At 49.4% G+C, this 27,453-nt stretch overlaps 1 protein-coding gene across 3 annotated transcripts in view, besides 6 other annotated features; it reads left to right on the top strand.

Moving 5' to 3' along the window:
• The window catches only part of BICD2 (BICD cargo adaptor 2), a 53,471-nt gene that overhangs the window by 716 nt on the left and 25,302 nt on the right, over nt 1-27,453 (top strand). The gene's annotated exons all lie outside the window — the stretch shown is intronic.
• Nucleotides 1,158-1,317: an enhancer, noted in NCBI's record as "active region_28603". NCBI's record gives its function as "activates an Ori minimal core promoter by ATAC-STARR-seq in GM12878 lymphoblastoid cells {active_cell/tissue: GM12878}" and the evidence as "EXISTENCE:reporter gene assay evidence [ECO:0000049][PMID:35858748]".
• Nucleotides 9,525-9,725: a silencer, noted in NCBI's record as "peak7293 fragment used in MPRA reporter construct". NCBI's record gives its function as "represses an SCP1 promoter by STARR-seq MPRAs in K562 erythroleukemia cells {active_cell/tissue: K562}" and the evidence as "EXISTENCE:reporter gene assay evidence [ECO:0000049][PMID:32103011]".
• Nucleotides 11,059-11,108: an enhancer, noted in NCBI's record as "active region_28602". NCBI's record gives its function as "activates an Ori minimal core promoter by ATAC-STARR-seq in GM12878 lymphoblastoid cells {active_cell/tissue: GM12878}" and the evidence as "EXISTENCE:reporter gene assay evidence [ECO:0000049][PMID:35858748]".
• Nucleotides 14,466-15,148: an enhancer, noted in NCBI's record as "H3K27ac-H3K4me1 hESC enhancer chr9:95511252-95511934 (GRCh37/hg19 assembly coordinates)". NCBI's record gives its function as "activates a minimal SCP1, AML or CMV promoter by ChIP-STARR-seq in primed H9 embryonic stem cells {active_cell/tissue: H9 hESC(primed)}" and the evidence as "EXISTENCE:reporter gene assay evidence [ECO:0000049][PMID:30033119]".
• Nucleotides 15,900-16,651: an enhancer, noted in NCBI's record as "H3K4me1 hESC enhancer chr9:95509749-95510500 (GRCh37/hg19 assembly coordinates)". NCBI's record gives its function as "activates a minimal SCP1, AML or CMV promoter by ChIP-STARR-seq in naive H9 embryonic stem cells {active_cell/tissue: H9 hESC(naive)}" and the evidence as "EXISTENCE:reporter gene assay evidence [ECO:0000049][PMID:30033119]".
• Nucleotides 23,101-23,180: an enhancer, noted in NCBI's record as "active region_28601". NCBI's record gives its function as "activates an Ori minimal core promoter by ATAC-STARR-seq in GM12878 lymphoblastoid cells {active_cell/tissue: GM12878}" and the evidence as "EXISTENCE:reporter gene assay evidence [ECO:0000049][PMID:35858748]".

The raw sequence follows: 27,453 nt of genomic DNA, 5'->3' as shown, positions 1-27,453 counted from the left end.
CGGATGCTGGTGACCCGCTGGGAGAGGCCGAGGGTGGGCCTGGGTCTGGGTGGCTGCGGCTCTGTCACCTTCAGAGAAAGCACTTCCCCTCTCTGGGCGCAGCTACTTTCGGAGCGTTTCTGCTTCTTTCATGAGTGCCTCCGAGGTGGGGAAAGGTCGTGGACAGCGGCCTAAGTGAGTAGGGGCTCGGGGTTGCACGTGGAGGTTGCCCCTGGCATGGGTCCCCCAGTACCCTTGCCCCAGGCCCAGCGCTGTGTCCTCATGGCCGGGATTGCGCTCCCACCAGCTAGCATGACTTCCCTGGCCCACTTCCTGTCCAGCCCCGCTTCTCGGGCCCTTCCCCTCGCTGTGGCTTGCTGTGTTCCTCTTGGACGGAGACCTCAGTGGTCTGTGTCATTCCCACTGGGGGGAGAGTAGGTTAGACCACCAGGCTGGTCGAGGGTCTCCAGGCGGCAGGGCAGCGGGAGTCTTGGACAGTCCTTCCCCAGCTTCTCTTCTCCCGTTCCCTGACTCCATAGCGTTGTTTGCAGGAATTGCTTTCTGGGAGGATACACCAGGGTTTGGATCCAGGCTGTGCCCCTTGCTAGTGATGTGGCTTTGGGTAGAGGCCCTCCGTGAGTCTTAGTTTCCCCCTCTGCAAAATGGGAGTGCAGTACTGCGTGCCCAGAAAGGATTGTTGTGAGGGTCATGTATTTGGAAAGGACTGGTGTGCGGTCAGGAGTATAGCTTGGTGGTGTGCTCCCTTCCCCCACTTGAGTGTGTCCTGGTGAGCCCTTGGCTCTTGGTTTCCAGGCTTATCACCTGGCACCTCTGCTCCCAGTCAGCCCAGACAGGTGCCTAAATCATTTGCAGCCTTCCTTGCCTCCCCCGTGTCTGAGGAGACCCGTCTGTGGAGAGCAGAGAATGAATCCAAGCAGATGCTTGGATGTCTGGGCAGAGCAGGTGCTCAGTTAGTACCAGTCAATGGCTGACCCTGGGCCAGCAGGAGCTGGGTCCTCCCCCATCGCCCTCAGGACTCGATTCTGTTGTCTGTCAGCAGGTATTGGCACCTTCTGCAATGCATGCTCCAGTGGCGCTGGAGCTACAAGAGGGGTGAGATGCAGCTGCTCTTGCAAGAGTCCCCATCTTAGGGTGGGGCGTGTGATAGGGAGGCAGGGGGCTCTGAGAATATGGAGTGGGAGTGGACTCGGCCAGTTTCTGGTCTCCTGTAGCGGGGCTCACCCTCTCCAGCAGGCAGCACTATCTGTTAGGGCGCTTTTCCCTCTGCACACAGTGAAGCAGCCCTCTTCCTCCTACCAAGTGCATCGTGAGCCGCTCCTGGGCAGCCTCTACAGTCCCTGTCTCTGTCCACAGCTTGGGTTTGGCAGTGTCCTCTGTGAGAAGGAATTGTCGCTGACTTAACTTGTCCCCGCTTTGGTGCCCTTCATTTGTCAGGTCTTTGCTATTCTGACACAAACGTTTTGGCACAGTGAAGAATCTTGGCATTTTCGTGGCATGTATCTGGAGGGTGAGTCCCTAGCAGAATCAGGAAGAGGGTATACCTGTTTCTGTGGGTACTCTTTAGGCGTCTGCTTGCTTGTTTTTTGTCACCACCTGGCTTCCATGTACTGGCCACATGGCCTTGGACAAATTACTGCTCTGTTCTGAATCTAGTTCTCCTTTGTAAGGTGGGATAAGAATGTTTCTGCTCGGTCTCTAGCAGAGTCTAGAGGAATGTGCATCAGCGTTTCAGTTTCAGTAGATGTTGCCAGAAAGTTTGTACCAGTTCACCCCCCATCAACAGCATGCGTGTTCCTCACACCCATGCCAACACAGGCTCTTGCTAACCTATTTAATTATGGCCAGTATTATAGTTGAAAATATTAACTCTTCATTTAAAAAAAACCACAAGATTTAAGGAGTCAATAATTGTGGGGTTTTTTTTCTCCTGTAGAGCGGTGTACCGCCTTAATTCTTTAGAAAACTTTATTTCTTGAACTAAAGTGCATTTAGTTACTAATAAATTGTGCTCCAAATGGAGTTGCTTGTACTTCTGCCCTGCATTTGTAGATAATAGGATCGTTGAGGGAAGGACGCTGGCCTGCTGGTCCCAGTGTGTGGGTTTCTGATCAGAGCTGAGGAGGGTCTTGTGGTGATGAATGGGAGACAGTGCCAGTCCTGTTGCCTTTCTCATGGGATGGGGGAAGTGTCTGTGTCCTGCTGACAACATAGCACGGTGCTGGCTGAGACCACAAGTGAGGTGGGTGCCCCCTGGTTGATTTTGCCTAATCATTCTGCTAGTGATTTCTTGAGCCTGACTCAGTTAAGACCATATCTGTCCCCGTTCCCACTGTGCCCTTTCCCTTCCTCTCCCTGGAATGGTGGGGAAGAGAATTAGATGGGCTTTGGTCAGCAACCTGGTGTTCCTGGTCCTGCGTGGCCGTGAGACACTTTGTTCTGTGTTCTTAGCTGTAGCTTTAAGAGGACAGGTGTGCTGAGGTGGCAGCTCCTGCCTTCAGGGCACAGGCAGGGACTGTAGCTAGGTGGGCTAAGGCTAGGTGCCCATGTGGTCCTCATGGTCAGGGGAGGGTAATGGGGGAGGTCTGAGAACAGTCTTGACTCCACCTGAGCTCAGGCTCAGAGAGGAGGTCTGGACACCCTCACTGCCTTGGTGTGCCACCTTGGTGTCATAGTGTCAAGCTCTGGAGCACCATTGTCCTTGTCTGAGAGGTGCACGTGGGTGGAATTGGGTGTTGGACTGGGCACAGCACCCAACACGCAGCAAGTGCTTCGTAGGTCTTCTGCGGACTGAATCTCATGCCTCACTCAGGTCTCTGTCTCCTTGCTGCTGCACCTGCAGCTTCTCCCCGTTCTTATCCTTGTCCCTGCTCAGTCTCAAGTGGCTTCCATTGCCACCTCCCAAGGGCTGCCCTAAGCATTGTCTCAGGCCCCTACAGCCTGGCTTGGGACTGCCCTACCTCTCCTGTGCCCACATTCACCCTTTGTCTTAGAAGTCCCACCTGCCCTTCAAGCTTGGGTGTCTCTAAAATTCCCCTGCCTGCTGCCTTCTGGACTTGCTGAGCCCTGTTCCCAGCACCTGGGCAGCTGCAGGAAGTGGGGGCAATAGGGTGATTGGCAGAGGACCCTCCAGGAGGTTCCTCTGCAGAGTTACTGGGGGTGAGGCCCAGCCTCTTTGATTGTTTGCTTCCAGAGCAGGAAAAGTCCTGGTCTTGGTTAAAGCAAGTGTGGGATTCTCCCATTCGTCTGATAACCCCTGAGAACATTGTTGTGTCCATTTCTGAACAGAAGGCTGTTGGGAGCAAGGAGGCTCTGGGAGACCCAAGGGCCTTTCAGGGGGCTGGGTGGTGGCAGTGGTCTGCTGTTGGTATGAGGAAGCCTGGCTTGGGTGGGAGCTGGGGCCCTGTGAATACCTGAAGCACAGATGGGTCTGACAGTTGGGGAGAGGCAGCTATAGGCATCCAAAGATGATGACCATGTGGCTACACTGTTGTCACTAATTGTTGGGCAATTCTCTCCCCGCTGGGCCTCTCTTTCCCCACTTTTAGAATATGGGGCAGGGGGTCATGAAGGAATCTTTAGGGACCCTTACACTTTTAAAAATGTCTGAAACTCCCACATCGAGCCCTGGTGCTGTTTCTTCCTGTAGGGCCTGGCGACTGGGCACTTGTGTATCTCAATCATCCTGGGACCTGGCCAGGGAATCTGCCCAGCCCTAGGCATGCGGATGGTGTGCTCCAGGCCAGCCCTGCCAGCATGTGGAGGCGTGGACCTGGCCACCCTCCATGGGATTCAAGGCAGGCACAGCTGTGATGGAGCAGCTCGTCTTTGGGGATGCCAAGCGAGCATGCTTTGTGGCTTAGCAGGTGGATCCAGAGGAAGGCCAGGCCCAGTGCTGGGAGCCCCTGGGCCCCTGGGGGTGCCTGGCACCACCTGAGCAGGACCGACTGTATATGATGTCTGTCCCTGTGAACTCCATACTGACTCCACAGGGGGAGTCTGGGCCCTGCCTGGTCTCCCAGGAGCTTGCGGCCCTGGATGAGCCGCTGCCTGTCTGGGCCGTGATAGGTTAATGATGATGCCTGTTACCTTGGCCCAGTGCTCTGTGAGCCCCCAAGGTCAGGGAGTGGTGTCCCTGTGCCCTTGTGTCTGAGCATCCGGCCCAGGTCCATATAGGATTCCTGCTAGGTCTCCCCTGTCACTTAGGGACCACAGTCCCTTCCTTTGAGGGAGGAGATCAGTTTCTTCTTTGTCAGTTTTGGGCATCCCCCAGTCAGTCAGACCTGCTTCCCCACATAGGTGGACCAGATGAAACTGTTACACACATCGGGGGTAAGAAAGATTTGGTTTCTTCTCAGACAGTACACCAGCTGTTTGAGGTGGTGGTGGCTGGTGGCCAGGGCTGGCCAGGACTATGCAGGCTTTGACAGGTAAAGCATTGGCCTTAGACCCTGTGTTGTCCAGTGTTCAGAGTGTGGCCTCTGAAGCCGAACTCTGGAGCAGGAGAGGGCCCAATGTGGCTGCCTAGCTGCCTCCTTGGGCTCAAACCCTGCTGTCCCAAGCTGGGCTCTGCTCTGCTGTGGGAGGTGGATGGAGAGATGGGGACTGAGTGGCAGGCAGGCTCCCCTTGCCACCCTCAGAGCATTGCAGGCCAGGGTTAGGGTTAGGAGGAGGTCACTGGGGGCCCAGCTTCTTTTTTAGAAGCTACTGTGTTTTAAAAAATCATACATTCACTTTAAGAACAGCAGAAAGTGGAGAGAACAGTGTCAATAGGACCTGTGTAGATGGCGCAGGACAAATGTGGGGAGCACTGGGTGTTTCTCTCTGCCAGCTCTTCTTCCCTTGTGAGTGTGTGATGTGTACAAGACACCATCAAACACAGGGGAAAGGCTTTGTGCATCTGTAATAGTTGTTTTTTGTTAAAGTTAGTTTGTTGCTACTCTGAGATACATAAAAGCAGGTTTAATTCAAGTAGATAAAGACAGGAAGGTTTCTGTGGATCCAGAGGTTCTGTGGTACTTCTAACTTATACTGTTGTGTTACTATATGAAATAATTGTCATGGTTTGCTTTTTATAGTTGGCTTTTTACTTTTTAATTTATTATTATTATTATTTATTTATTTTGGTAGAGTCAGGGTCTCACTGTGTTGCCCAGGCTGCTCTTGAACTCCTGGGCTTGAGCGATCCTCCCGCCTTGGCCTGCAAAGTGTTGGGATTAGAGATGTGAGCTACCACGCCTGATCTATAGTTTGCTTTTTTTTTTTTGAGACGGAGTTTCGCTTTTGTTGCCCAGGCTGGAGTGCAATGGCGCGATCTTGGCTCACCACAACCTCCGCCTCCCAGGTTCCAGCGATTCTCCTGCCTCAGCCTCCCTAGTAGCTGGGATTATAGGCATGTGCCACCATGCCCGGCTAATTTTTTTTGTATTTTTAGTAGAGATGGGGTTTCTCCATGTTGGTCAGGCTGGTCTCGAACTCCTGACCTCAGGTGATCCGCCTGCCTTGGCCTCCCAAAGTGCTGGGATTACAGGCATGAGCCACCACGCCCAGCCTTTTTTTTTTTTTTTTTGAGACGGAGTCTTGTTATGTTGCCCAGGCTGGAGTACAGTAGCTCGATCTTGGCTCACTGTAACCTCTGCTTCCCGAGTTCAAGTGATTCTCATGCCTCAGCCTCCTGAGTAGCTGGGATTACAGGTGCGCGCCACCACACCTGGCTAATTTTTGTATTTTTAGTAGAGACGAGGTTTCTCCATGTTAGCCAGGCTGGTCTCGAACTCCTGACCTCGGGTGATCTGCCTGCCTCAGCCTCCCAAAGTGCTGGGATTACAGGCGTGAGCCACTGCGCCTGGCTGCTTTACTCATTATTTACTTATTTATTTATTTATTCATATTATTATTATTATTATTATTATTATTTGAGACAGAGTCTAGCTCTGTTGCCCAGCGTGGAGTGCAGTGGCACGATCTCGACTCACTGCAAACTCTGCCTTCCAGGTTCAAGCAATTCTCCTGCCTCAGCCTCCCGAGTAGCTGGGATTACAGGAGCCCACCACCACGCCCGGCTAATTTTTGTATTTTTAGTAGAGATGAGGTTTCACCATGTTGGTCAGACTGGTCTCAAACTGTTGACCTCAGATGATCCACTCGCCTCAGCCTCCCAAAGTGCTGGGATTACAGGCGTGAGCCACCGCGCCCAGCCTTTACTCATTTTTTAAAGCCACCTTCTTTGTTGGATGTTTCCACATAATCAAAGGTGGAGAGAGTAATAGAGTGAGTCCATGTATGCTCCTGCCCTGCACCTGCAGTTTGCAGCTGTGGCCGGTCTTGTTTCTACCGCAGTTCATCCTGTGTAGCTGTGTCTGTAAGTATATCAGTTGTTTTGCTAAGAAAATAGAATCTTTTCTTTTTTTTTTTGAGATGGAGTCTCACTCTGTCACCCAGGCTGGAGTACAATGGCGCGATCTCGGCTTACTGCAAGCTCCGCCTCCTGGGTTCACACCATTCTCCTGCCTCAGCTCCCCCCCGCCCCCCCGCAGTAGCTGGGACTATAGGCGCCTGCCACCATGCCCAGCTAATAGAAAATAGAATCTTTTCTTACAAAACTTAACCATTGTTGAACTTTCACACCTAAGAAACTAACAAAAATTCTTTAGTGTCATCTGTTGTCCAGTCAGTGTTTGGATTTCCCCAGTTTGGCTCATAAATTTCATTTTACAGTTACTTTGTTTCTTCAGAAGCCAAGCAGGATCTGCAGGTTGCATTTGGTTGAAGGCCTTCTCAATTTTTTTTTTTTTTTTTTTTTTTTTTTGGAGACAGTCTCGTTCTGTCGCCCAGGCTGGAGTGCAGTGGCGTGATCTTGGCTCACTGCAATCTCTGCCTCCTGTGTTCAAGCAACTCTCCTACCTCAGCCTCCAAAGTAGCTGGGACCATAGGTGCACACTGCCACACCTGGCTAATTTTTTGTATTTTAGTAGAGGCGGGGTTTCACCATGTTGCCCGGGCTGGTCTTGAATTCCTGAGTTCAGGCAATCAGTCTGCCTCGGCCCAGCAAGGTGCTAGGATTACAGACCTTGTCATTTTAAAGACAGCGCCATGTGTGGCCTGTCCTGTCCCCTTTCATACTGCACTGGCATTAGCCCTGGCTACTCTATTTTTATGCTGTGGAGGGTGCCGGTAGGCGGAGATTCCCACTTTATCTGCCCCTGCCAGACACCTTACTCTTGTCTTTCTCTTTTATTTCCTTTTTTTTTTTTTGAGACGGAGTCTCACTCTGTTGCCCAGGCTGTAGTGCAGTGGCGCGATGTCTGCTCACTGCAACCTCTGCCTCCCGGGTTCAAGCGATTCTCCTGCCTGAGCCTCCTGAGTAGCTGGGATTACAGGCGTGCACCACCACGTCTGGCTAACTTTTGTATTTTTAGTAGAGACAGGGTTTCATCCTGTTAGGCAGGTCTTGAACTCCTGACCTCATGATCTGCCTGCCTCGGCCTCCCAAAGTGCTGGGATTACAGGCGTGAGCCACTGTGCCTGGCCTCTCTTTTCTTTTTTAAAATATTAGCCAGGGGCCGGGCGCAGTGGCTCACGCCTGTAATCCCAGCACTTTGGGAGGCTGAGGCAGGCGGATCACGAGGTCAGCAGATCGAGACCATCCTGGCTAACACGGTGAAACCCCGTCTCTACTAAAAATACAAAAAATTAGCCGGGCTTGGTGGCAGGCACCTGTAGTCCCAGCTACTTGGGAGGCTGAGGCAGGAGAATGGCATGAACCCGGGAGGCGGAGCTTGCAGTGAGCCGAGATCGTGCCACTGCACTCCAGCCTGGGCAACAGAGCGAGACTCCGTCTCAGACAAAAAAAAAAAAAAAGTAGCCAGGGTGCCTCCTTCAGCTGATGCATCATGGCTTGGCTCTTGCATTGCTGCATTGTCATCACCTATTCTGGTTCATCTGTCGCCCCAGCCTTTACTGTGGAGCTCTGCCCACCTGAGGTGATGTTGTCATCTAGTGGGTGTAGATGCCAAGCCCTTCTAAACCAGAAGGGAGGAACTAGTATTGTCACTGTCCTACCATTGAGGGTGCTGAGGTCATAGTGAGGACCACTCATACTCTTACTAGCATGGCAGTGGACTCAGCCATTCTTGGCTTGACTTCTGTGACCTGGAGCCAGTCTCTCCCCTCTCTGGGCCTCAGTTTCCTTGTTTTAGGCCAGTGCATTCCTGACGCCCTTGGAGGTGGATCAATTTCTCCCTCTAGTGACAGCATCATGGCGGGCTCAGGCCCAGGACGCAGCTGCTTTGCAGGCATGTGTTGCCTGCTGCCTGGGCTCCCCATCTGCTTTGCTCTGCCCTTCTTCCTCACACCCATGTTCCCTCAGTACCACCCTCACAACATGCTGGGGTGTAAGGGCTGGTTGATGACAAGCATGTCCATAAGCCTAGGGGATTCCTTGGGTGTCCTAAAATGTGACCTAAGATAATTATCGGGGAACATGCCCCGATATTCACGTAAGTTCTTTTCATTTTCCTTAAGTGTCGGCCAGCTTGAGAAATAAAGGGACAGAGTACAAAAGAGAGAAATTTTAAAGCTGGGCATCCGGGGGAGACATCACATGTCGGTAGGTTCCGTGATGCCCCACAAGCCGCAAAAACCAGCAAGTTTTTATTAGGGAGTTTCAAAAGGGGAGGGAGTGTGCGAATAGGTGTGGGTCACAGACATCAAGTACTTTACAAGGTAATAGAATATCATGAGGCAAGTGGAGGCAGGGCAAGATCACAGGACCACAGGACCGAGGCGAAATTAAAATTGCTAATGAAGTTTCGGGCACCATTGTTATTGATAACATCTTATCAGGAGACAGGGTTTTGAGATCAACTGGTCTGACCAAAATTTATTAGGCGGGAATTTCCTCTTCCTAATAAGCCTGGGAGCGCTATGGGAAACTGGAGTCTATCTCACCTCTGCAATCTCGACCATAAGAGACAGGTATGCCCCAGGGGGGCCAGTTCAGAGACCTACCCCTAGGTGTGCATTCTCTTTCTCAGGGACGTTCCATGCTGAGAAAAAGAATTCAGTGATATTTCTCCCATTTGCTTTTGAAAGAAGAGAAATATGGCTCTGTTCTGCCCGGCTCACCAGTGGTCAGAGTTTAAGGTTATCTCTCTTGTTCCCTGAACAATTGCTGTTATCCTGTTCTTTTTTTCAAGGTGCCCACATTTCATATTGCTCAAACACACATGCTGTACAATTTGTGCAGTTAATGCAATTATTACAGGGTCCTGAGGTGACATACATCCTTCTCAGCTGACAGGATTAAGAGATTAAAGTAAAGACAGGCATAGGAAATCACAAGGGTATTGATTGGGGAAGTGATAAGTGTACATGAAATCTTCACAATTTATGTTTAGAGATTGCAGTAAAGACAGGCATAAGAAATTACAAAAGTATTAATTTGGGGAACTAATAAATGTCCATGAAATCTTCACAATCCACGTTCTTCTGCCATGGCTTCAGCCGGTCTCTCTGTTTGGGGTCCCTGACTTCCCATAACAGATAATGGCATCTCATTGTGGTTTAAGTTGCACTTCCCTGTTCACTGATTGGATCAGGCCAATTTTATTACTTCTGTGAAGCACAGTTCTGCTATAACGTGTCTTTTGAAAATGTAAATTTGTTCCAGACTGATTGATATATGAGGGAACAGTTTGAACACGATGAGAATTTTGTATTTGCCTACGTACAGTTTTCTCCTCAAAAAACACTAGTGTACACAGAGCCCTGCACCCGGCCTACCTGAGCTATGTGAGGATACACAGGATACACGCACCTACAGCTTCCCATTCCATTTCAGAACACCCACCTTCTACCACCTCAGGTAGCTGATGAGTTGCCAGCCGTGACATCACACCCACTGGCAAACCTCAGGGCTTCTTAAGATAAAGTGTCATGTGTATTGTAGCACTTATGTGTCTTTTTTTTTTTTTTTGAGATGTAGTCTTGCTCTCTCGCCCAGGCTGGAGTGCAGTGGCGCGATCTTGGCTTACTGCAAGCTCCGCCTCCCGGGTTCACGCCATTCTCCTGCCTCAGCCTCCCGAGTAGCTCCGACTACAGGCACCCGCCACCATGCCCGGCTAATTTTTTTGTATTTTTAGTAGTGACGGGGTTTCACGGTGTTAGCTGGGATGGTCTTGATCTCCTGACCTCGTGATCCGCCTGTCTCAGCCTCCCAAGGTGCTGGAATTACAGACTTATGTGTCTTTAAGCCATTGAACGTGTATAAAACTGTGCTACCGGCCGGGCACGGTGGCTCACGCCTGTAATCCCAGCACTTTGGGAGGACGAGGCAGGCGGATCATGAGGTCAGGAGATCGAGACCATCCTGGCTAACACGGTGAAACCCCATCTCTACTAAAAATACAAAAAAATTAGCCGGCCTTGGTGGCGGGTGCCTGTAGTCCCAGCTACTCAGGAGGCTGAGGCAGGAGAATGATGTGAACCCGGAAGGCGGAGCTTGTGGTGAGCTGAGATTGCGCCACTGCACTCCAGCCTGGGCGACAGAGCAAGACTCCGTCTCAAAAAAAATAAAATAAAATAAAAAACTGTGCTGCCCTTTTATCATTAATTTTAAAAAATGAACTACTTTAGAAAATTTTTAGATTTATAGAAAAATTTGAAAAATAGTACAGAGTTGCTGTATACCCCACACCCAGCTGCCTCCTTATTATAACATTGTACATTAGTGTGGTATATTTGTTACAATGGATGAACCAATATCATGGCATTATTATGAATACTTTATTCAGATTGCCTTAGTTTTTACCTGATGTCCTTTTTCTGTCCCAAGTATTGTCTAGGATATCACATTACATTTAGTTGTTGTGTCTCCTTAGGCTCCAGTTGACTGTGACAGTTTCTCAGACCTTCCCTGTTCTTGATGACCTTGACAGTTTTCAAGAAGATTGATCAGGTGTTTAGTAGAATGTTTTTCACTTGGAATTTGTCTGATGTTTTTTCTCGTGGTTAGATTGGGATTATGGGTTTGGGGGAGGAAGATCACAGAAGTAAATGCCCTTCTCATCACATATCAAGAGTGTGTATTGTCAGCATGACCTGTCACTGCTGCTGTTGACCTTGATCACCTGACCGCCACTCTAAAGTTATTCTTTCTCTTCCTGTCCATACTGTATTCTCGGGAAGGAAATTACTGTGCATAACCCATACTTGAGTAGGGAGTTTGCTCCACCTCTTTGAGGGCAGGGTGCTATCTACATAAATTATTTGCGATTTTTCTGCATGGCAGACTTTTCCCTCCCTCCCACTCTTGTTTATTATATCAATGTAGACTCATGAAAGTTCATTTTATTTATTTTATTTGGGACAGGGTCTCACTCTGTCGCCCAGGCTGGAGTGGAGTGGTGTGATCGTGACTCACTGCAACTTTGACCTCCTGGGCTCAAGTGATCTTTCCACCTCAGTCTCCCCAGTAGCATGTGCCACCACCCCTAGCTAATTTTTTGATTTTTTTAGTAGGTACATGGTCTCATTATGTTGCCCAGGCTCGTCTTTAATTCCTTGGCTTATGTACTTCTCCTATCTTGGCCTTCTAAAGTGCTGGGATTCCAGGCATGAGCCACTGTGCCCAGCCCATGAAAGTTTATTTTATACTTTGGGTTATAATCCAACATTACCTCATTTTGTTGCTCAAATTGCTCCAGCTTTGGCTCTTGAGAGCTCTTTCAGATGGCTCTTATACCCCCTTTAACATACCACATCATGGTGCCTCTTTTTTTTTTTTTAAAGTGCTTCCTTCCTTTCTGGCACTACAAGATGTTGCAGGCTTATCTGTTTCCTCCCTCAGTCCTAGAATCAGCTATTTACCCCAAGAAGCCCTGGTTTCTTTAGTTGAGAAAGATGTTAGAAACCAAGATCTGGTTGCTATGTGTGCTCATTGCTATTAGGGTGTCTTTGATTTAAGGCCTGTCAGCAACAGAACAAGGAGATTGTTTTGAACATGCAGTTAGTTAGTGGCTGGGCGCAGTGGCTCATGCCTGTAATCCCAGCACTTTGGGAGGCCGAGGCGGGTGGATCACGTGAGGTTAGGAGTTCGAGACCAGCCTGGCCAACATGGGGAAACCTCGTCTCTACTAAAAATACAAAAATTAGCTGTTCGTGGTGGTGGGCGCCTGTAATCCCAGCTACCCAGGAGGCTGAGGCAGGAGAATTACTTGAACCCAGGAGGCGGAGGTTGCAGTGTGCCAAGATCGCATCATTACACTCCAGCCTGGGCGACAGGAGCAAAACTCCATCTCAAAAAAAAAAAAAAATGCAGTTAGTGTATACTAACCCATGTATATACATATGTCAATAAATACACCTGTATGTATATTTAGTTAACCATGAGTTCATACTGATGTAAGAACTGTAATCCATTACCACGTAGATCGTTCTTACCACCTTCCCTTGCTTATCTGTAACCTCCCACTCCAACAGTGAGACACCTGGCTCCCACCATCCACCATCCAGTAACTTAATTGTTTCATTCCAGTTCACATGTACAGCAGTAACAGAATTGTTAACCTGGGTCCCCATGGGAAACAATTTTATCAACTAGAGTTACAGTGCTTTTGTGTAATTCTTTTGCCTTTAGTCTTATAGACTCTACTTATTTCCAAAGTTACTTAAGTTAGGGCTGGGCTCAGTGGCTCACACCTGTAATCCTAGCACTTTGGGAGGCCAAGGAGGATAGATCACCTGAGGTCAGGAGCCAGCCTGGCCAACATGACGAAAACCCGTCTCTACTAAAAATGCAAAAATTAGCCGGGCGTGGTCCCAGGTGTCTGCAGTCCCAGCTACTTGGAAGACTGAGGCAGGAGAATCACTTGAACCCAGGAAGCCGAGGTTGCAGTGAGCCGAGATTGTACCACTGCATTCCAACCTGGGGGACAGAGTAAGACTCTGTCTCAAAACAACAACAACAACAACAACAACAACAACAAAAAACCAACCACCCTGGCCAACATGGTGAAACCTCATCTCTACTAAAAATACAAAAATTAGCCAGGCTTGGTGGTGTGTGCCTGTAGTCCCACCTTCTTGGGAGGCTGAGGCAGGAGAATTGCTTGAACCCAAGAGGCAGAGGTTGCAGTGAGCTGAGATCTCGCCACTGCACTCCAGCCTGGGCAACAGAGCGACTCTATCTCAAAAAAAACAAATAAAAAGAAAAAGTTACTTAAGTTAGTACTTTATTCCCCCATCCCCTTCAGTGAGGTTGTTTGATACATTTGTAATACAATTAGATTATTTTGTCACATTCTACATTCCAGCCCAGGATCCCTTGATCTCCCAAATGAATTTTTAAAACAATTCACATACTAATATTAAGGTTCACTTTTTGTTTTTATAAATGCAGTGGCATTTATCTACCATTACAGGATCATACAGAATAGTTTCACTGCCTTAAAAAAAAAACCCTATGCTTCACCTGTTTAAATCCACCCCCGTCAACCTCTGGCAACCACTGATCTTTTTACCATCATTACGGTTTTGCCTTTTCCAGAATGTCACATAATTGGAATCATACAGTATGTAGCCCTTTTCAGACTGGCTTCTTTCACTTAGCAATATGCACTTAAGATTTATCCATGTTTTTTCATGGCTTGATTGCTCTTTTTTTTTTTCTTAAATCACAATAATATGGGTGAACCACAATTTATCTGTTCACCTATTGAAAGACATCTTAGTTGCTTCTACTTTTTGGCAAATATGAATAAAGCTGCTTTAAACATTCACGTACAAGTTCTAGTGCAGGTAATTACCATTTGGGTAATTACCTGAAGAGTCTGATCGCTGGATTGTATGATAAGACTGTATTTAGCTTTGTGAGAAACTGCCAGACTCTTCCAAATGCGAATACCATTTTGTATTTCCGCCAGCATTGAACAAGAGTTCCCTCTCCTCAGGCTCCACCCTCATAGTTCATCCTGTGGTGGGAAGAACTCTGGGGATTGCGAGGAGATGGCGTAAGATTCTCCTGCCACTTGCTGACTGTGAACCTTACTGGTGTCTCTTTCTAAAACAGTGCTAATAAGGTGAAGAAGTGTGATGAGGGTTTGAGATGAAGTCAGGAGAAAACCCGGGCTGCAGCCATGCTCTCCTGTGGCTTTCAGCCCAGCCTGGCCCAGACTGCTGTGCCCACTGTGCCATCCTCCCCTCGTTTGGAACAGATGCCGTCTGGACAGCTGCGTGGCAGGGCCCCCAAGCTGTCCCCTCTTGCCCTGACTACAAGCTGTTGAATGGAGATTTGTGTCAGGGCAGCCAGCTGCCATGGAAGATGAGGGCTGGTCCCCAGGCCCCAGGACTGGCTTCTGTGTCTTGGGCGGGGTAGCTAGGGTCTGTGGGGACCTTTGCCAGCCCTGGGTGCAGCTGGCCAGAAGCCTGTCTGCTGACACTGGGGCAATTAGGGTGTAATCTTCTCTAAATGGCACCCAATTCTGGCTAAATCCCTCCTGCCCAGGGATGAATTCCCAGTTTTCTAAAAGCAGCTTAGCATTTGGACGTTGCCCAGGGCAGCTGGGGTTCACGGTTGGTGATGGGATGGCTGCTTCCGATTGATGTGGGCCTCACAGAGGAGGGGCCATGGGTGGGCAGAGGCTGGTGACAAGCACCACAGCCCTACAGTGTTCCCTGTGTGGGTGCCTCTCAGCCCTGAGTCCTAGCGATCCCCGCATCCACAAGTGTAAGTCCTCCTTGGGGAAATGCAGTTCCAAAGCCACCCAGTAGGAAGGGTGGGCCAGTGCCCCTCAGCCTCCTGTGGTGTGAGGGACAGATGGGCCTGCAGAGGGGCTTGGGCCTGGGCTGGTCCTGCAGCGTACAGCTTGATAGATATAGGCTGGCAGAGGTGGGCGGGCGCTGCCTCCTGGCCTGGACCCCAGTTCCCAGGAGGCCCCACCCTCTTTTCCTGGCCTGGACCCCAGTCCTCAAGAGGCCCCACCCTGTCTTGCAGGGACTCCTGCAGCCTTCCCAGGCTCCTGCTTGAGTGCTCCTGGGCCTCCTCCCTCCTCCCTGTCTACCTGCCAGGTGAGGCTGTCTGAGTTCCTCAGGGACCAACTCCACCTCCTGCCCCCTCTCCTGTTACCCCCTTGCCCCTCCCTGTACCATCTCCTCTGGGAACCACCCTGCTGCAAAGAAGAAAAATGGATTTTGGAGTGAGAAGCCTTATGGTCCCACTCAGATGAATCATCTCACCTTGTTGATCCTCAGTTTGTTCACCCATGAAAGGGAACAATAAAAGTTTTTACTTTGCAGGGCTTGTGTGAAGACACATGATTCACACCCACCTCTGTCCGCTCCTGGGGGCCCTGGACCCCACATCCTTTGTTGCCTGTATCTGCTTAGGAAGTACCTTTTGAATAAAGAGAGGAGGGAGTTGGTTTAGTGATGCTGGAGCATCCCCACCCAGCTGGGGATGGATGGGAAGAGCTGGCTGAGGGGATGGTGAGGTAGGGTCTCCCATATAACACCCATGGGATCCCACTGGGTGGGTCATTGTGTCTGTGAGGGGCCCAGGTAGTCAACAGGTCTATTTCTGGCTTCTTAGCTGACTTGGGTTCCAGTAGAAGCATGTGGAGCTGACTAGTCTGCTTGTACCCCAGGGTCACTGGGGGACTTTCAAAAATTCTAAAGCTCAGGGGCCACACTCAGACCTATTAAATCAGTCTCAGGAGTGTTTACACTTCCAGAATGATCCCAGGGGAAAGATGAGTGTGGGAGCACTATCCTGTCATTGCAGTTTACACCCGGGGGTTTGAATCCTCCCTGCTGTGCACATCGTGCGTGATTCAGCCCTGGAGAGGGGTACAACCCCCCAAGTGGAGAACCTGGGATGCCTCTCTGTACCTCTCTGGAGTGTGCATGAGCTAAGGGGAAGACCCAGGACAGGGGCAAGCCTGGGAGCCATTCCTGCTGCTGAGTCACGGGGGTGTGTCCCCTCCACTGGCTGGAGAGAGAGGGATGAAAGAGGAGATGTCCCAAAAGAACCTGCAATGCCTGCCCACCCTGTACCCCTGGAGTTCCCTGCAGTCCTAGCCTCACTCAGCCGTATTCATACATATGGCATACATATTCATACATATGCAGCCATATTCATATTCTGCACTCTCAGCACCCCAGCATCTGGCTATGCCCTTGACCTGCCATGCTGTCAGCCCACTTCGGGTGTGGGGCCTGTCACCTCCCAGCTGTGTGCATAGGTTCCCCCTGTCTGTCTTCCATTCATGCCACAGATGCTTCCTGAGCCTTGCCACTTGCTGGGCTTGGGCTCCTCACTCCGTTCCTGCACTCACCAAGGAGGTGCAGATGTGTGGTGGACGTGGGCGTCCATCTGCCCACAAGGACAGGCCTGAACCCTTCCCGTGTGAGAGGCCTTGCCCCACCCACACTGTGTGTATATCTGGATGGTCGGCCCTGCCTTCTGCCTGAGCTATTTCTCAGCATCAGTGAGCTAAAGTGATGGGGGTGCTGGCTGAAGTGAGGGTAATGTTAGGCTGGAGGGAATTCTGCTGTCCTGGGACAGCTGCTGGACTTTTCCATCCTGCCCGGTGAGTCTGGCCCTCCCTACTGACTCCCTGGTGACCCCCCTGTCCTGAGCCATATCCCTGGAGCTGTTGCCTACACTTGTGGCGATGAAAGAGATGCAGGTCAGGACCTCACCCAGGAGCCTGGCGGGGACTTTGGAAGAAAGCATACCAGCATGCAGACCTGCTTCCCAGTGTAGCCAGGGGCCTGGGCAAAGTGCTTCTCCACAGAGCTGCCCAGCCTCTCGCACTAGGCCGAGATGGCAAGGGTCAGCACCTAAGAGGGGGTCAGGCCTGTGGCTGCTGTTGTTGATGGTGCAGATGGTGGACAGGTCCATTTACCCTCTTGGCCCCCGGTGACATACTGGCTCTGAGATTTGGCCTACTGGGGACCCACCAGGGAAGTCATCCAGAAGGTCTGTGTGGGAGCTTGGTGGGCCACCAGTTTGGTGGCCTTTCCCTAGAAGCTGCTGGGAGACCTCTGCCACCCACCTTCCATATTGGTGTGGTTCACTGTGAGACAGAGCTGAGCCCCATTTCAGTCCAGGCTGCATTTTTTAGGGCGGCCTTTGACCTCAACAGTCAGACATTTCCGGAGCAGCTCTGGCTGCTGACTAGTTGATTGTTTTGTGCAGCTCTCATTTTTAAATTGAGGTATGATTTGCCTGTAAGACCACACGCAGTTGTGCAGTTGTGTGCTCTCGTGTGGCTGCCCCATGGTGAAGGTTACCCTGAAGTGCTCAGACTCTTCCTGTCCACCCAGCAGCGTACTGCCTGCCTTCTACAGTGATTAGGTTTCTTCATACTTGGTGTGTGGTCTTTTGGGTCTGGCTTCTCTAAGAGCCATCACGACGGTTACTTGTATGAGGAGTGAGTTTTCTTGCTGCTGAGCATCATCCACTGTGTCATCATACTAGAGTTACTGCCGTCCACCTGTTGTTGGGTGCTGGGCATTGTGAATGTACCATACTTGGCGTGGACATGTGGCATGTGCTTCCATGTTTCTTTCTTTTTTTTTTTTTTTTTGGAGACGGAGTCTCACTCTGTCGCCCAGGCTGGAGTGCAGTGGTGTGATCTTGGCTCACTGCAACCTCTGCTCCCGGGTTCAAGCAATTTTTCTTGCCTCAGCCTCCCAAGTAGTTGAGATTACAGGCCCCTGCCACCATGCCCAGCTAATTTTTTATTGTTTAGTAGAGACAGGATTTCGCCATGTTGGCCAGGCTGGTCTTGAACTCCTGACCTCAGGTGATCTGCCTGCCTCAGCCTCCCAAAGTGCTGGGATTACAGGCGTGAGCCACCATGCCCGGCCAATGCTTCCATCTTTCTTGGGTGGTGCCTGCAGCAAGCCCCTCTCCCCACTGTATTCACATATCAACATGTCCGAGCAGGAGGGCCAGTCCTTTCACTCGTGCTTTGCCACCACAGGTAACCTTCTAGGGAGGGAGGGACCATGTGTCAGGAGGGAAATGATCTCCATAAATTGTGGGAAGTGGGGCCCAGGGACCACCATGACTGGCTTTAGCCAGATCTCAGTTGTTAGGCAGTCCCCACATTGAGTCCAAGCTTTCTAGGTTCCAGGCCAAGACCAGGAAGGGCCGAGTCCCAGATGTTCATGCACCTGGGAATGGGAGTTTGCAGTTCTCCAGGTGATTTTGAGGAGCAGGCGTGGTTGGGGCACTGGTCAGACAATTGAGCACTGTGGGCCAGGGTCTAGGCCCAGGCCCAGCCACTTCTGGATCATCAGCCTCTCTTTCTTGCTTTCTCTTCAGACCCTCTTGGGGAAACGTTTATGGAGATGTGTGTTCTCGGAGTTCAGTTTCTCACCTGTGAGAGGAGCTAATACCTCCTGTGAGAGAAGCTAATGAGCTTACATTGGTGCAAACTGTGAAGTGCAGCGATGCCTTGGGGTAATTGCCCTCCCTCCCCTGGGCACCCAGAGTCTTCTTGCTTATCTGTTAACAGCTGTGTTGTCCTCTGTCTTCCTCCCTCTGGGCCCACATCAAAGCTGGAGGGGTGCTGACGGCAGCCCAAGGCTGGGAAAACCTGGGGGTGGAGAGGGATCATCTGGACAGAGCAGGCCCAGTGAAGATGCCTCAGGACAGGGGACCCCCCTCCCCTGTCCCCACCCTTAGTTAGGTGGATCCCCTTCTCCCCTCACCGCACTGCCTCTACACCGTTCTTGGATCTGGGTCATTACTGGGCTGAACAGTAGGCAGAGGTTCCAGCTCATCTCACATCCATCTCCCAACTATACCTCCCTCCTGGCCCTGGAACCCTCCCATCCCCCATCCCAGTGTGCCCTGCGACTCTGTTTCTGCTGGTGTTTGTAGCTACTGTAAGTTGTTTTCCTGAATTGCTAGCAAGGCTGTACATCTGTTTGTGGGGTGATCTGAAGCATCTGGCCCTGTGTAAATCTGAAGTCCATTTCTTGCCACCATTTCCTGACCTGACCCTGTGTTCTTATATCAGGTTTTTGCTGAAGTTCATTTATGAAAATTTGATCTTTCATCTTGTTTCTGATATTATCCATTTTATGAATAACAAGCAATTTAACTCCCTGTGATATGTTTGGTTTGGGGTTTTATTAATCTTTTAAACTAGAATTACATATAGTAAAATGTATAGATTTTAAGTGCATGTGTGTATGTTGGCAAATATGTCATCCCTTGGGTACATTTGCTATTCTGCAGCTTTTCCTTTTTTTTCTTTTTTTTTTCTGAGACGGAGTCTCGCTCTGTCATCCAGGCTGGAGTGCAGTGACACAATCTTGGCTCACTGCTACCTCCACCTCCTGGGTTCAAGTGATTCTCCTGCCTCAGCCTCCTGAGTAGCTGGGTCTACAGGCGCGTGCCACCACACCTGGCTAATTTTTTGTATTTTTAGTAGAGGAGGGGTTTCACCATGTTAGCCAGGATGGTCTTCATCTCTTGACCTCATGATCCGCCCGCCTCGGCCTCCCAAAGTGCTGGGATTACAGGCTTGAGCCACCACGCCTGGCCCAATAGTTTTCATATTACACTAGTTTTTAATAAAAATAAGCTTTTACTGGAGTGTAAGGTAAATATGGAAACTATAAAAATCATAATTGTATAGTTTGATAAATTATCAAAGTAAGTACACCCATGTAACTACCAACAGATCAAGAAGTTGCATGTAGTCAGCTTCCCAGAGCTGCTCTCTGAGCCCTGTCAAGGTGTGATCATTCTGGCTTTTGACACCAAAGATTATATCTTGCCTGGTTTTGACTTCTTATAGATGGAGTTGCACCGTACTTTTTTTGTGTGTTCACTCAGCATCGTGAGACTGGTCCTCATTGCTGCTTGTATTTGTAGGTTATTGGCACTCGTTGCCACATGGGATTCATTTGTGTGGATATACCACGCCTTCCTCACCCACTGTCAGGTAGACCGACCCTGGGGTTGTTTTCAGCTTGGAGCTGTTAGAACGCTCATGGGGTGGCTGTTGCCTGTGTCTGTTGGATGGACTGGCTAGGGTGACATAGGGCAGGCTTTCTTCTAGAGGAGCACAGCAGTGTGTGGCGAGCTCCTGTCCTCTCCATCCTCACCACGGGCACTTGATGTGTTACTGATTTATGTACTAGCCATTCTGATCAGTATGTCACAGTAGCTCTTTCTGGTGTAAGTTGCATTCCCCATGGACCTTTTCCTGTGTTTACTGGCCACTTGGAGAGCCTCTTTTATAAAGAGCCTTTTCAAGACCTTCTTCCAATGTTCTTCTTGGGTGTCTGTCTTTTTCTCATGTACGTGTAGGAGATCTTTATATATTCAGGATATGGAGCCCTTTGCCATCAGGCAGTAGTTCTGACCCAGCGATGCAGCAGAAGGACCCAGCATGGAGCAGGCAGAGATGGCTCTCTTCCATCTGTGCTTCTGCCCTGTCACAATTTTGGCCTTTTGGAGCCTTAGTTTCTTCCTCCATAAAATGGGAACATGGGTTCTCCTGAGAACTTTGAGATAGGCGTTAAGTGAAATAATATACTTAAGGAGACTTATAGAGTGGTGGCTATTATTGTTACTAATACTTTTTTAAATAAAATGGAAAGAGGCTGAACACGGTATCTTGTGCGTATAATCCCAGCACTTTTGGAGGCCAAAGTGGGGGCTCACTTGAGCCCAGGAGTTCAAGACTAGCATGGGCAACATAGTGAGACCCCATCTCTTAAAAAAAAAAAAAAAAAAAAAAGCTGGCATGGTGGCACGTGCCTGTAGTCCCAGCCACTCAGGAGGCTGAGGCAGGAGGATTGCTTGGGCCCAGGAGGTTAAGGCTGAAGGGAGCTGTGATCTCACCACTACACTCCAGTCTGGGTGACAGAGTGAGACCCTGTCTTCCAAAAAAAGAAAGAAAATGGGAAGAGATCTCATATCCACTGGGATGGCTGTAACCAAAAAATAGACAATAAGAAGTCCTGGAGAGGAGTGGGAAAATTGGAATCCTCCTATGTTGCAAGTGGGAACATATAAAATGGGATAGCCCTTGTGGAAAATTTGGCAGTTCCTCAAAAAAAGTTGAAGATACCACATGACCTAGCAGTTCCACTTATAATAGCCTAAAAGTGGAAACAACCCAAGTGTCTGTCAAATGATGAATGGATAAACAAATGTGATCTGTTCATACAATGGAATATTATTTGACCATGAAAGGGAAGGGAATTCTTATACATACTACAACATGGGCGAACCTTGAAAACATTATGCTTAGTGAAGAGGCCAGTCACAAAAGACTGAAATGTCCAGAATAGACACATTCATAGAGATGGAAAATAGATTGGTTTTCAGGATGGCAGTGGGGAGAGCTGAAGAGTGACTGCTAATGGGGACAGAGTTTCTTTGGGGGGGGTGATAGAAATGTGGAATTAGGCCGGGCACAGTGGCTCACGCCTGTAATCCCAGCACTTTGGGAGGTCGAGGTGGGCGGATCACGAGGTCAGGAGATCGGACCATCCTGGCCAACATGGTGAAACCCCATCTCTACTAAACATACAAAAAATTAGCCAGGCATGGTGGCAGGTGCCTGTAGTCCCAGCTACTCGGGAGGCCGAGGCAGGAGAATATCGTGAACCTGGGAGGTGGAGCTTGCAGTGAGCCAAGATCGCGCCACTGCACTCCAGGCTGGGCAACAGAGCGAGACTCCATCTCAAAAAAAAAGAAAAAAAAAAAAAAGAAATGTGGAATTAATGGTGATGTTCACCCAACTCTGTGAATGTACTAAAAACCACTGAATGGTACACTTTAAAAGGGTGAATATTATGACGTGGATTATGTCTTTTTAACATTTTTTGGTGGAGGTAAGCAGGAGAGTCTTTTTGCTTGCTAAATCTTTGAGATAAATTTCACTATTATTCTGAAGTAATCCCCAGAAGATTTGAGGCAGCTTCCTTCCAGGTCTGTAGCTGTGGTACCCATATCACATGAATCTACATGACAACTCAAGGAATCTTACCTTCCAACTTACATTCTGTCTTTCTCATTAGTATTTTTATAATTTTCTCATTAGTATTTTTATAATTTTCTTTGGATAAATCTTATGTTTCTAGTTAAGTTAATATCTGGGGGTTAATTTTTTAGGTCAAGATTATGAATGTAATTGCTCTTTTTTGTGTTCATAACTCAACAGTTTAATTTGGGAGGATTTTATGGGTATCTTGGTATATTTGAAATCTCTGACCTTTTTGAGGATGTTTCTTGGTGCATTTTCTAGACAAAATCATCACCTGCAAAAAATAGGAATTTAGCAGTACGCTTTTTTCTCTTCTGATGTCTTTTAAGTGTGGTGAGAGTGTAGTCCTGCCTTCTCCTTTTAAGGGGAGAGTGGGTAACTCAAATGCATCTTCATTTACCAATGCTTCTCCATTATTTATTAATGCATTCCATTATTTGTTATGTTTGCTTTTGTTTTAAATCTATCCAGGTAAGATTTACTCTATTGATGCTCTTTTTATGACATAAAGAAAAAAAAGAAAATTACCACATCCACTTTTCAAGTGCTTCAGTTGAGAAGAGTTCAGGCTAAATTATGGTGAAAGCATCTTAGCATAGATGACATTTTAAATTCCTTTAAAAATATTAGTTTGTGGCAGAAATATTGGTAGTTTGCCTCAGGCAATCTATATGGTTTACTTACTTGTTGGCTTATCTTGTTTCATAGCAGATGCTGAATATAGATTTTAAAAATTGAATTGGTTTACCCTGGTTTTATGTTCCTGGGCAAGGTCTTCTGATCACAGTGAATAACTCTTAAGGTAAATGGTTACTTCTGTTTGCTGAGATTTTGTCAGGTTTTTGCATCTGTGTTGGGCGTGGAGTTGGTCCATGAGTCCCTGCCCTTTGGAAGGGAAGATCTGTTGAAACCAGCAGATAAGTTCATGACATACCTGCTGAACATTCCCGTTGAGTTTGTAATGTCTTTTCTTCTCCCTTAGAGAGGACATTACAAACTCAGCAAACTGAACAGGAGTGTTCAACAGATACATCAGGAACTGATAGGGCATGTCTTTCTGTTTTCCTTTCTCATTATTTGTTTGAGTGGATATGGTTGTGGACAGGGACACTTTAGGCCGAGACCTGAGCTCAAGACCTGCTGTGCTACACAGCACCCAGACTCCCTCCTGGGCATGCACTCCCTGGGTCAGTTCTCCTGTGAGGCAGGCCTGCTGGTGCCGATGCCCATCTTGCCAATGGCTGTGGGGTGGAACCAGCAATGCAGTAGCTCAGTCCTCACGTTGCCTGTGGGGACTGGACAGGTTGGTAAGTGTTCAGTTCCCTGGTTTTGGGGTATGTACTTTGCACAGACTTGCCAACCTGAATACAGTCATTAGCTGGTTAAAAAAATACACAAACATGGTTGCTTTGTTTTTTCTTTTGTTTCTGGGTTTTTGTTATATCACTTCCCCTTTGTGAGACTTCTGCTTGTTACTTTATTCAGTTTTTGCAATCCCCGTCTAGAGAGACTGTTTCTTTTTATCATTATTTATTTTTAGTGCAATCCACCACAACGCCCCCCCTCCCCGCCCCAGCACAGTACTGCTTTGGCCGTGATCCTGAAGTTTTGATATGATTTGTTTCTATTTTTTGTTTATTTGATTTCCCGTTGTTTTGTTCTGTATACCTTCTCTAATACAGATATATTTAAGAGATCATTTTTCAATTTTCACATGTTTGAGTGTATGCTAACATTTTTACAGCATATATTTTTTAGAACAGTTTCAGATTTACAGAAAACTTATGTGAAATACTGTCTTTTACTTTGTTCCGTGGTACACCAACACATAAATGGAATTTCTTCCTTTTTTAGATTGCTCTGATGTCATTCTGCATCCTCTTGTGATATCATTTCCTTATGCCCTGAGTCCTGGTATGGAGACTTCATGTCTCTGCCAGTTCTGATTTGCTGGCTATTGCAGAGCCCCCCATCTCTCTCTCTGCGTGGTTGACACTTTGATGTATTTTGTACTAGGCTGTTTGGGTCACGATAGGTTTGATTAACCTATGAGTGAGTTTAATGTCATAATGCTGTAAATTCTTTATCTCATAATAATATTGTTGAGCTTGTATTTATGTCAGCTTAATAGGCCTGAGAACCCTGGTGACTGTAATAAGGCTTGATGCCACTTGGTCTCCTGCGGAGTCCTGGCTATGCAGGGCAGGACCCTGAACAGCACATGCAGACCTTCCCGGAGTGGAGCAAGGTGTCTGAGGCCTCCAGGTCCTCTCCTGTCCTGCAGACCACCCCAGCTCCTTTTAAGGCCTCGGAAACACCTGATTTCCCTTTGACTCCATCAAGTGTTGAAACCCTGTGGCTTGTGGCAGTTTTGGGGGGGCAAGTCTGCCATTTGATCAGTGTTTACTGACCGCATGATTGTGAAGGAGGTGGGTGCTGGACTTGAATTGCTGTTTCCTGGCTCTGCAGATTTCTTTGCCTATTACCCCTCTCAAGGAGTAAAATCGTGGTCGGGGGTCGGGTCTTGCTCCAAAGGCTTTGCCTCCCTGCCTGCCAAGTGTGAACTTCTGATAGGAATACTGCTTCAAAACAGTAAAGTGTTGACCGAGCCTTCACGGGCTCCTCACTGTGGTTGTGGGGAATAGAGAGCCTGGGATACTGACAATCCGTAATCAAGTGAGTTTTATCATCCTGTGATTCCCCAGGATGGGAGGATTTGTGGTCTCAGCTGACTGTCTGGGCTACAGGCCCTCGGACTTGGGTCTTGGGAGGCCTGATAGTCTGTTGTCCTGGTATCATTGGTACCTACCAGAGACCAGGCATGCAGTAAGCGCTAATAAGTGCTGTTAGTAAACATTGAGGGGATGGTAAAGCCAGTCCCTGGGATTTTTCAACAAGCCTGGGTGGAAAGGTGGGTGCTGAGCAGAAGGTATTCACAGCCCGTCGAGTGGATGAGGATCAGACCTTCCCCCTGCTTGGACCAGCCCTGACAAGGAGCCCAGCAGTGTCTCCACCTTAGCAGGTGGTGGGAGGGCCCAACCGAGGCAGCCAGGCTAGGACTAGTGGGATTCCTGGGATGCCCAGGCCCGCCGTTCCCAGGAGGCTGGGCCCACCCTGGGGCAGGCATCATGGCCCTTCAGGGACAAGTGTGGGACCAGCTGGCTATGAGTGGGTGGTGCTGGATCAGCCTAGCAGATGAAGGAATTGAGGCTCCCAGTTTTGTTGTGGAAACTGCATCCTGGAACAAGTCCTGCCTCATTGGAATGCTGCGGCTGGCTCTCCTGGCTTGGCAAGTGTTGTTCCTGTTGTATCAGATGGCCAAACTGGTTTAGGATGAAAGAGAATTCCCTGGGACAGCCCTGCCTGGAGGCCTGGTTCCCCTGCCCTGGTGGTGTAGGCCTTCTCCAGGGAGCCAGAGCCCAGTGGAAGGTCGGCAAGTGGGGTTGGTTCTCAGTCTCCTGTGCAGACCTGTTTCAACTCCCTGTACAGGTTTGTCCGGAGACTGAAGGGGCAACCTCTACTAGCTAGGGCTGATGGCCAGCTCTTATTGTGGAGATATCCACATTCTCTCTTGAGAGTGGGGAGGGAGGGGGGTGACTTTCCTTTGTAGCTGAGGAAACTGTAATTAGGTAGTTGCCACAGAGCCAGGCAGCCCCACTAGCTGGCTACAGAGTAAGGACATCTTCCATATGCAGAAGGACAGTGAGGCCACTTTGGAACCAGCACCTAGCCTTGGGGGGACCATCAGGGACCAATCTTGTGGCAGCAGGTGGGAGGGTGCAGGCACTGGCCTGGGGCTGCTCTTCAAGCCCTGCCACTTCTCATAAATGGGCTGATTGTGGATGACCCTGACCTGGTGCCCATGCTGCCTAAGCATCAGGGTGGGCTTACACACGCCCAACCATGGGAACTTGGCCCCGTAGCCCCATTGACAGGCACAGTGAGGGCGGAGCTCACCAAGTCATAGCTGACCAGTGGCAGAGCCAGGACGTGGGCCCAGGCAGCCTGGCTTCAGGTGTGCACATACCCGTTGGCTCTCCTGCTGTGCCGCCGGGAAGTGGGCAGGGCAGTGGGTGCCTCTTGCACAGTGGGGCACCTCGGCGAAGCAGGAGGCCTATGTGGCTGAGGAGGGAGGGAAAGAGATTCTTGTCCAGGGGTTCAGAGGCCCTGGTGTGAGGACCTAGTTCTCCTTCTGGCCCCACCTTGTCCTACCTTTTGCTTTGCTGTTCCTTCCACCTGGCGCACTTCCCCATCCTCCCAGGCTCTGATCACCTGCCACTGTTTCCTCCTCTGCACTAGGCACAGGTCAGGGTTTCAGCCCTTCCAGCCTATATGTATAGTTTTACTTTCACAGAAAGTAACACTTGAAGAGTTGTTCTAAGGTGGTGGGTGTGCCCAGGTGATAACTGGGAGCTTTGCTGGTACTGGCGTCAGGAAAGAATGAAAACCGCAAAGGTAACTGTAACCTGTTGTTGGTCGTAATCTTTTACTCTTCCTTCATCGTCCAGCTTCTGTTTCTGGATCTCAGCCTCTATTTGGGGTGATGAGGGCCTAAGCGTCTGGTATGGGCTCATTCTAAAGCCACCCAGTCTCCCACGCGCTGCCCCACACTGGGGTTGTCAGGATCTCAGCATGTTAACACTGGTCCATTGACAATAGCCTCAACCACATCCTGAGTCAGAGATATGCTGACTCTGGAGGAGTTGCCTCCTTCTTGGGCATCCGAAAGGCAGTGGGATGCCTGGAGAGGAGAACAAGGAGTAACTCCCTGAACCTGTATTTTAAAGCTCCTATCGTCAGGGGGTGGGTGGAGTAGGAGGCCACATAGGCTCTGGTAAGTGAATTATGTTAACTGACTAAATCCCCATAGCACTAAGCTCAGATTGGTGACATTATTAACCCAGGTTTCACATGAGGAAATCGAGGCACATTGTGATTGGCGCCCACCACAGTCACATAGCCCTGCCCCTGCAGCTTATTTCAGAGGTGCTAGCAGGGGATGTTGGCTGTGCTTCCCTGAGATGGGGGTGGTGGGCACAGATGGGCCCGTGCTCACAGGTACCCCTGGGACCTGGCCTGCCTTCTCTATCTCCTAGGGGTTTGGGTGGGGTGGGGCACTGGGCTCATCTGTTGGACAGGATCCTTACTGCCCTGTTTTCCATCCTGAGGCCTATTCTGCCAGCCTTCTGTCTCCAGCCCTGCACCATCCCACGCTACAGCCAGACTGTGCACCCTTGGCAAGCATTGAGCTCTGTTGTGCCTCAGTTTCTCTGTGTGTGTGTGTAAAGGGGGAACATGTTCAGGGCTCCGGTCATGGAGCTGCTAAAACAATCTAACACACAGGGTGTGCTCAGTTCGAGGCAGCTGAAGATATTACTGGAAAGTGGTGCTGATCCAGATCCCAAGAGAGGGTTCTTGAATCTCACGCAAGAAAGAA

This window comes from Homo sapiens, chromosome 9 (genome assembly GCF_000001405.40).
Source record: "Homo sapiens chromosome 9, GRCh38.p14 Primary Assembly".
In the NCBI taxonomy this organism is placed as follows: Eukaryota; Metazoa; Chordata; class Mammalia; order Primates; family Hominidae; genus Homo; species Homo sapiens.
The sequence above is the reverse complement of the archived record's forward strand: the minus strand, read 5'-3'. Positions and strand labels throughout refer to the sequence as shown.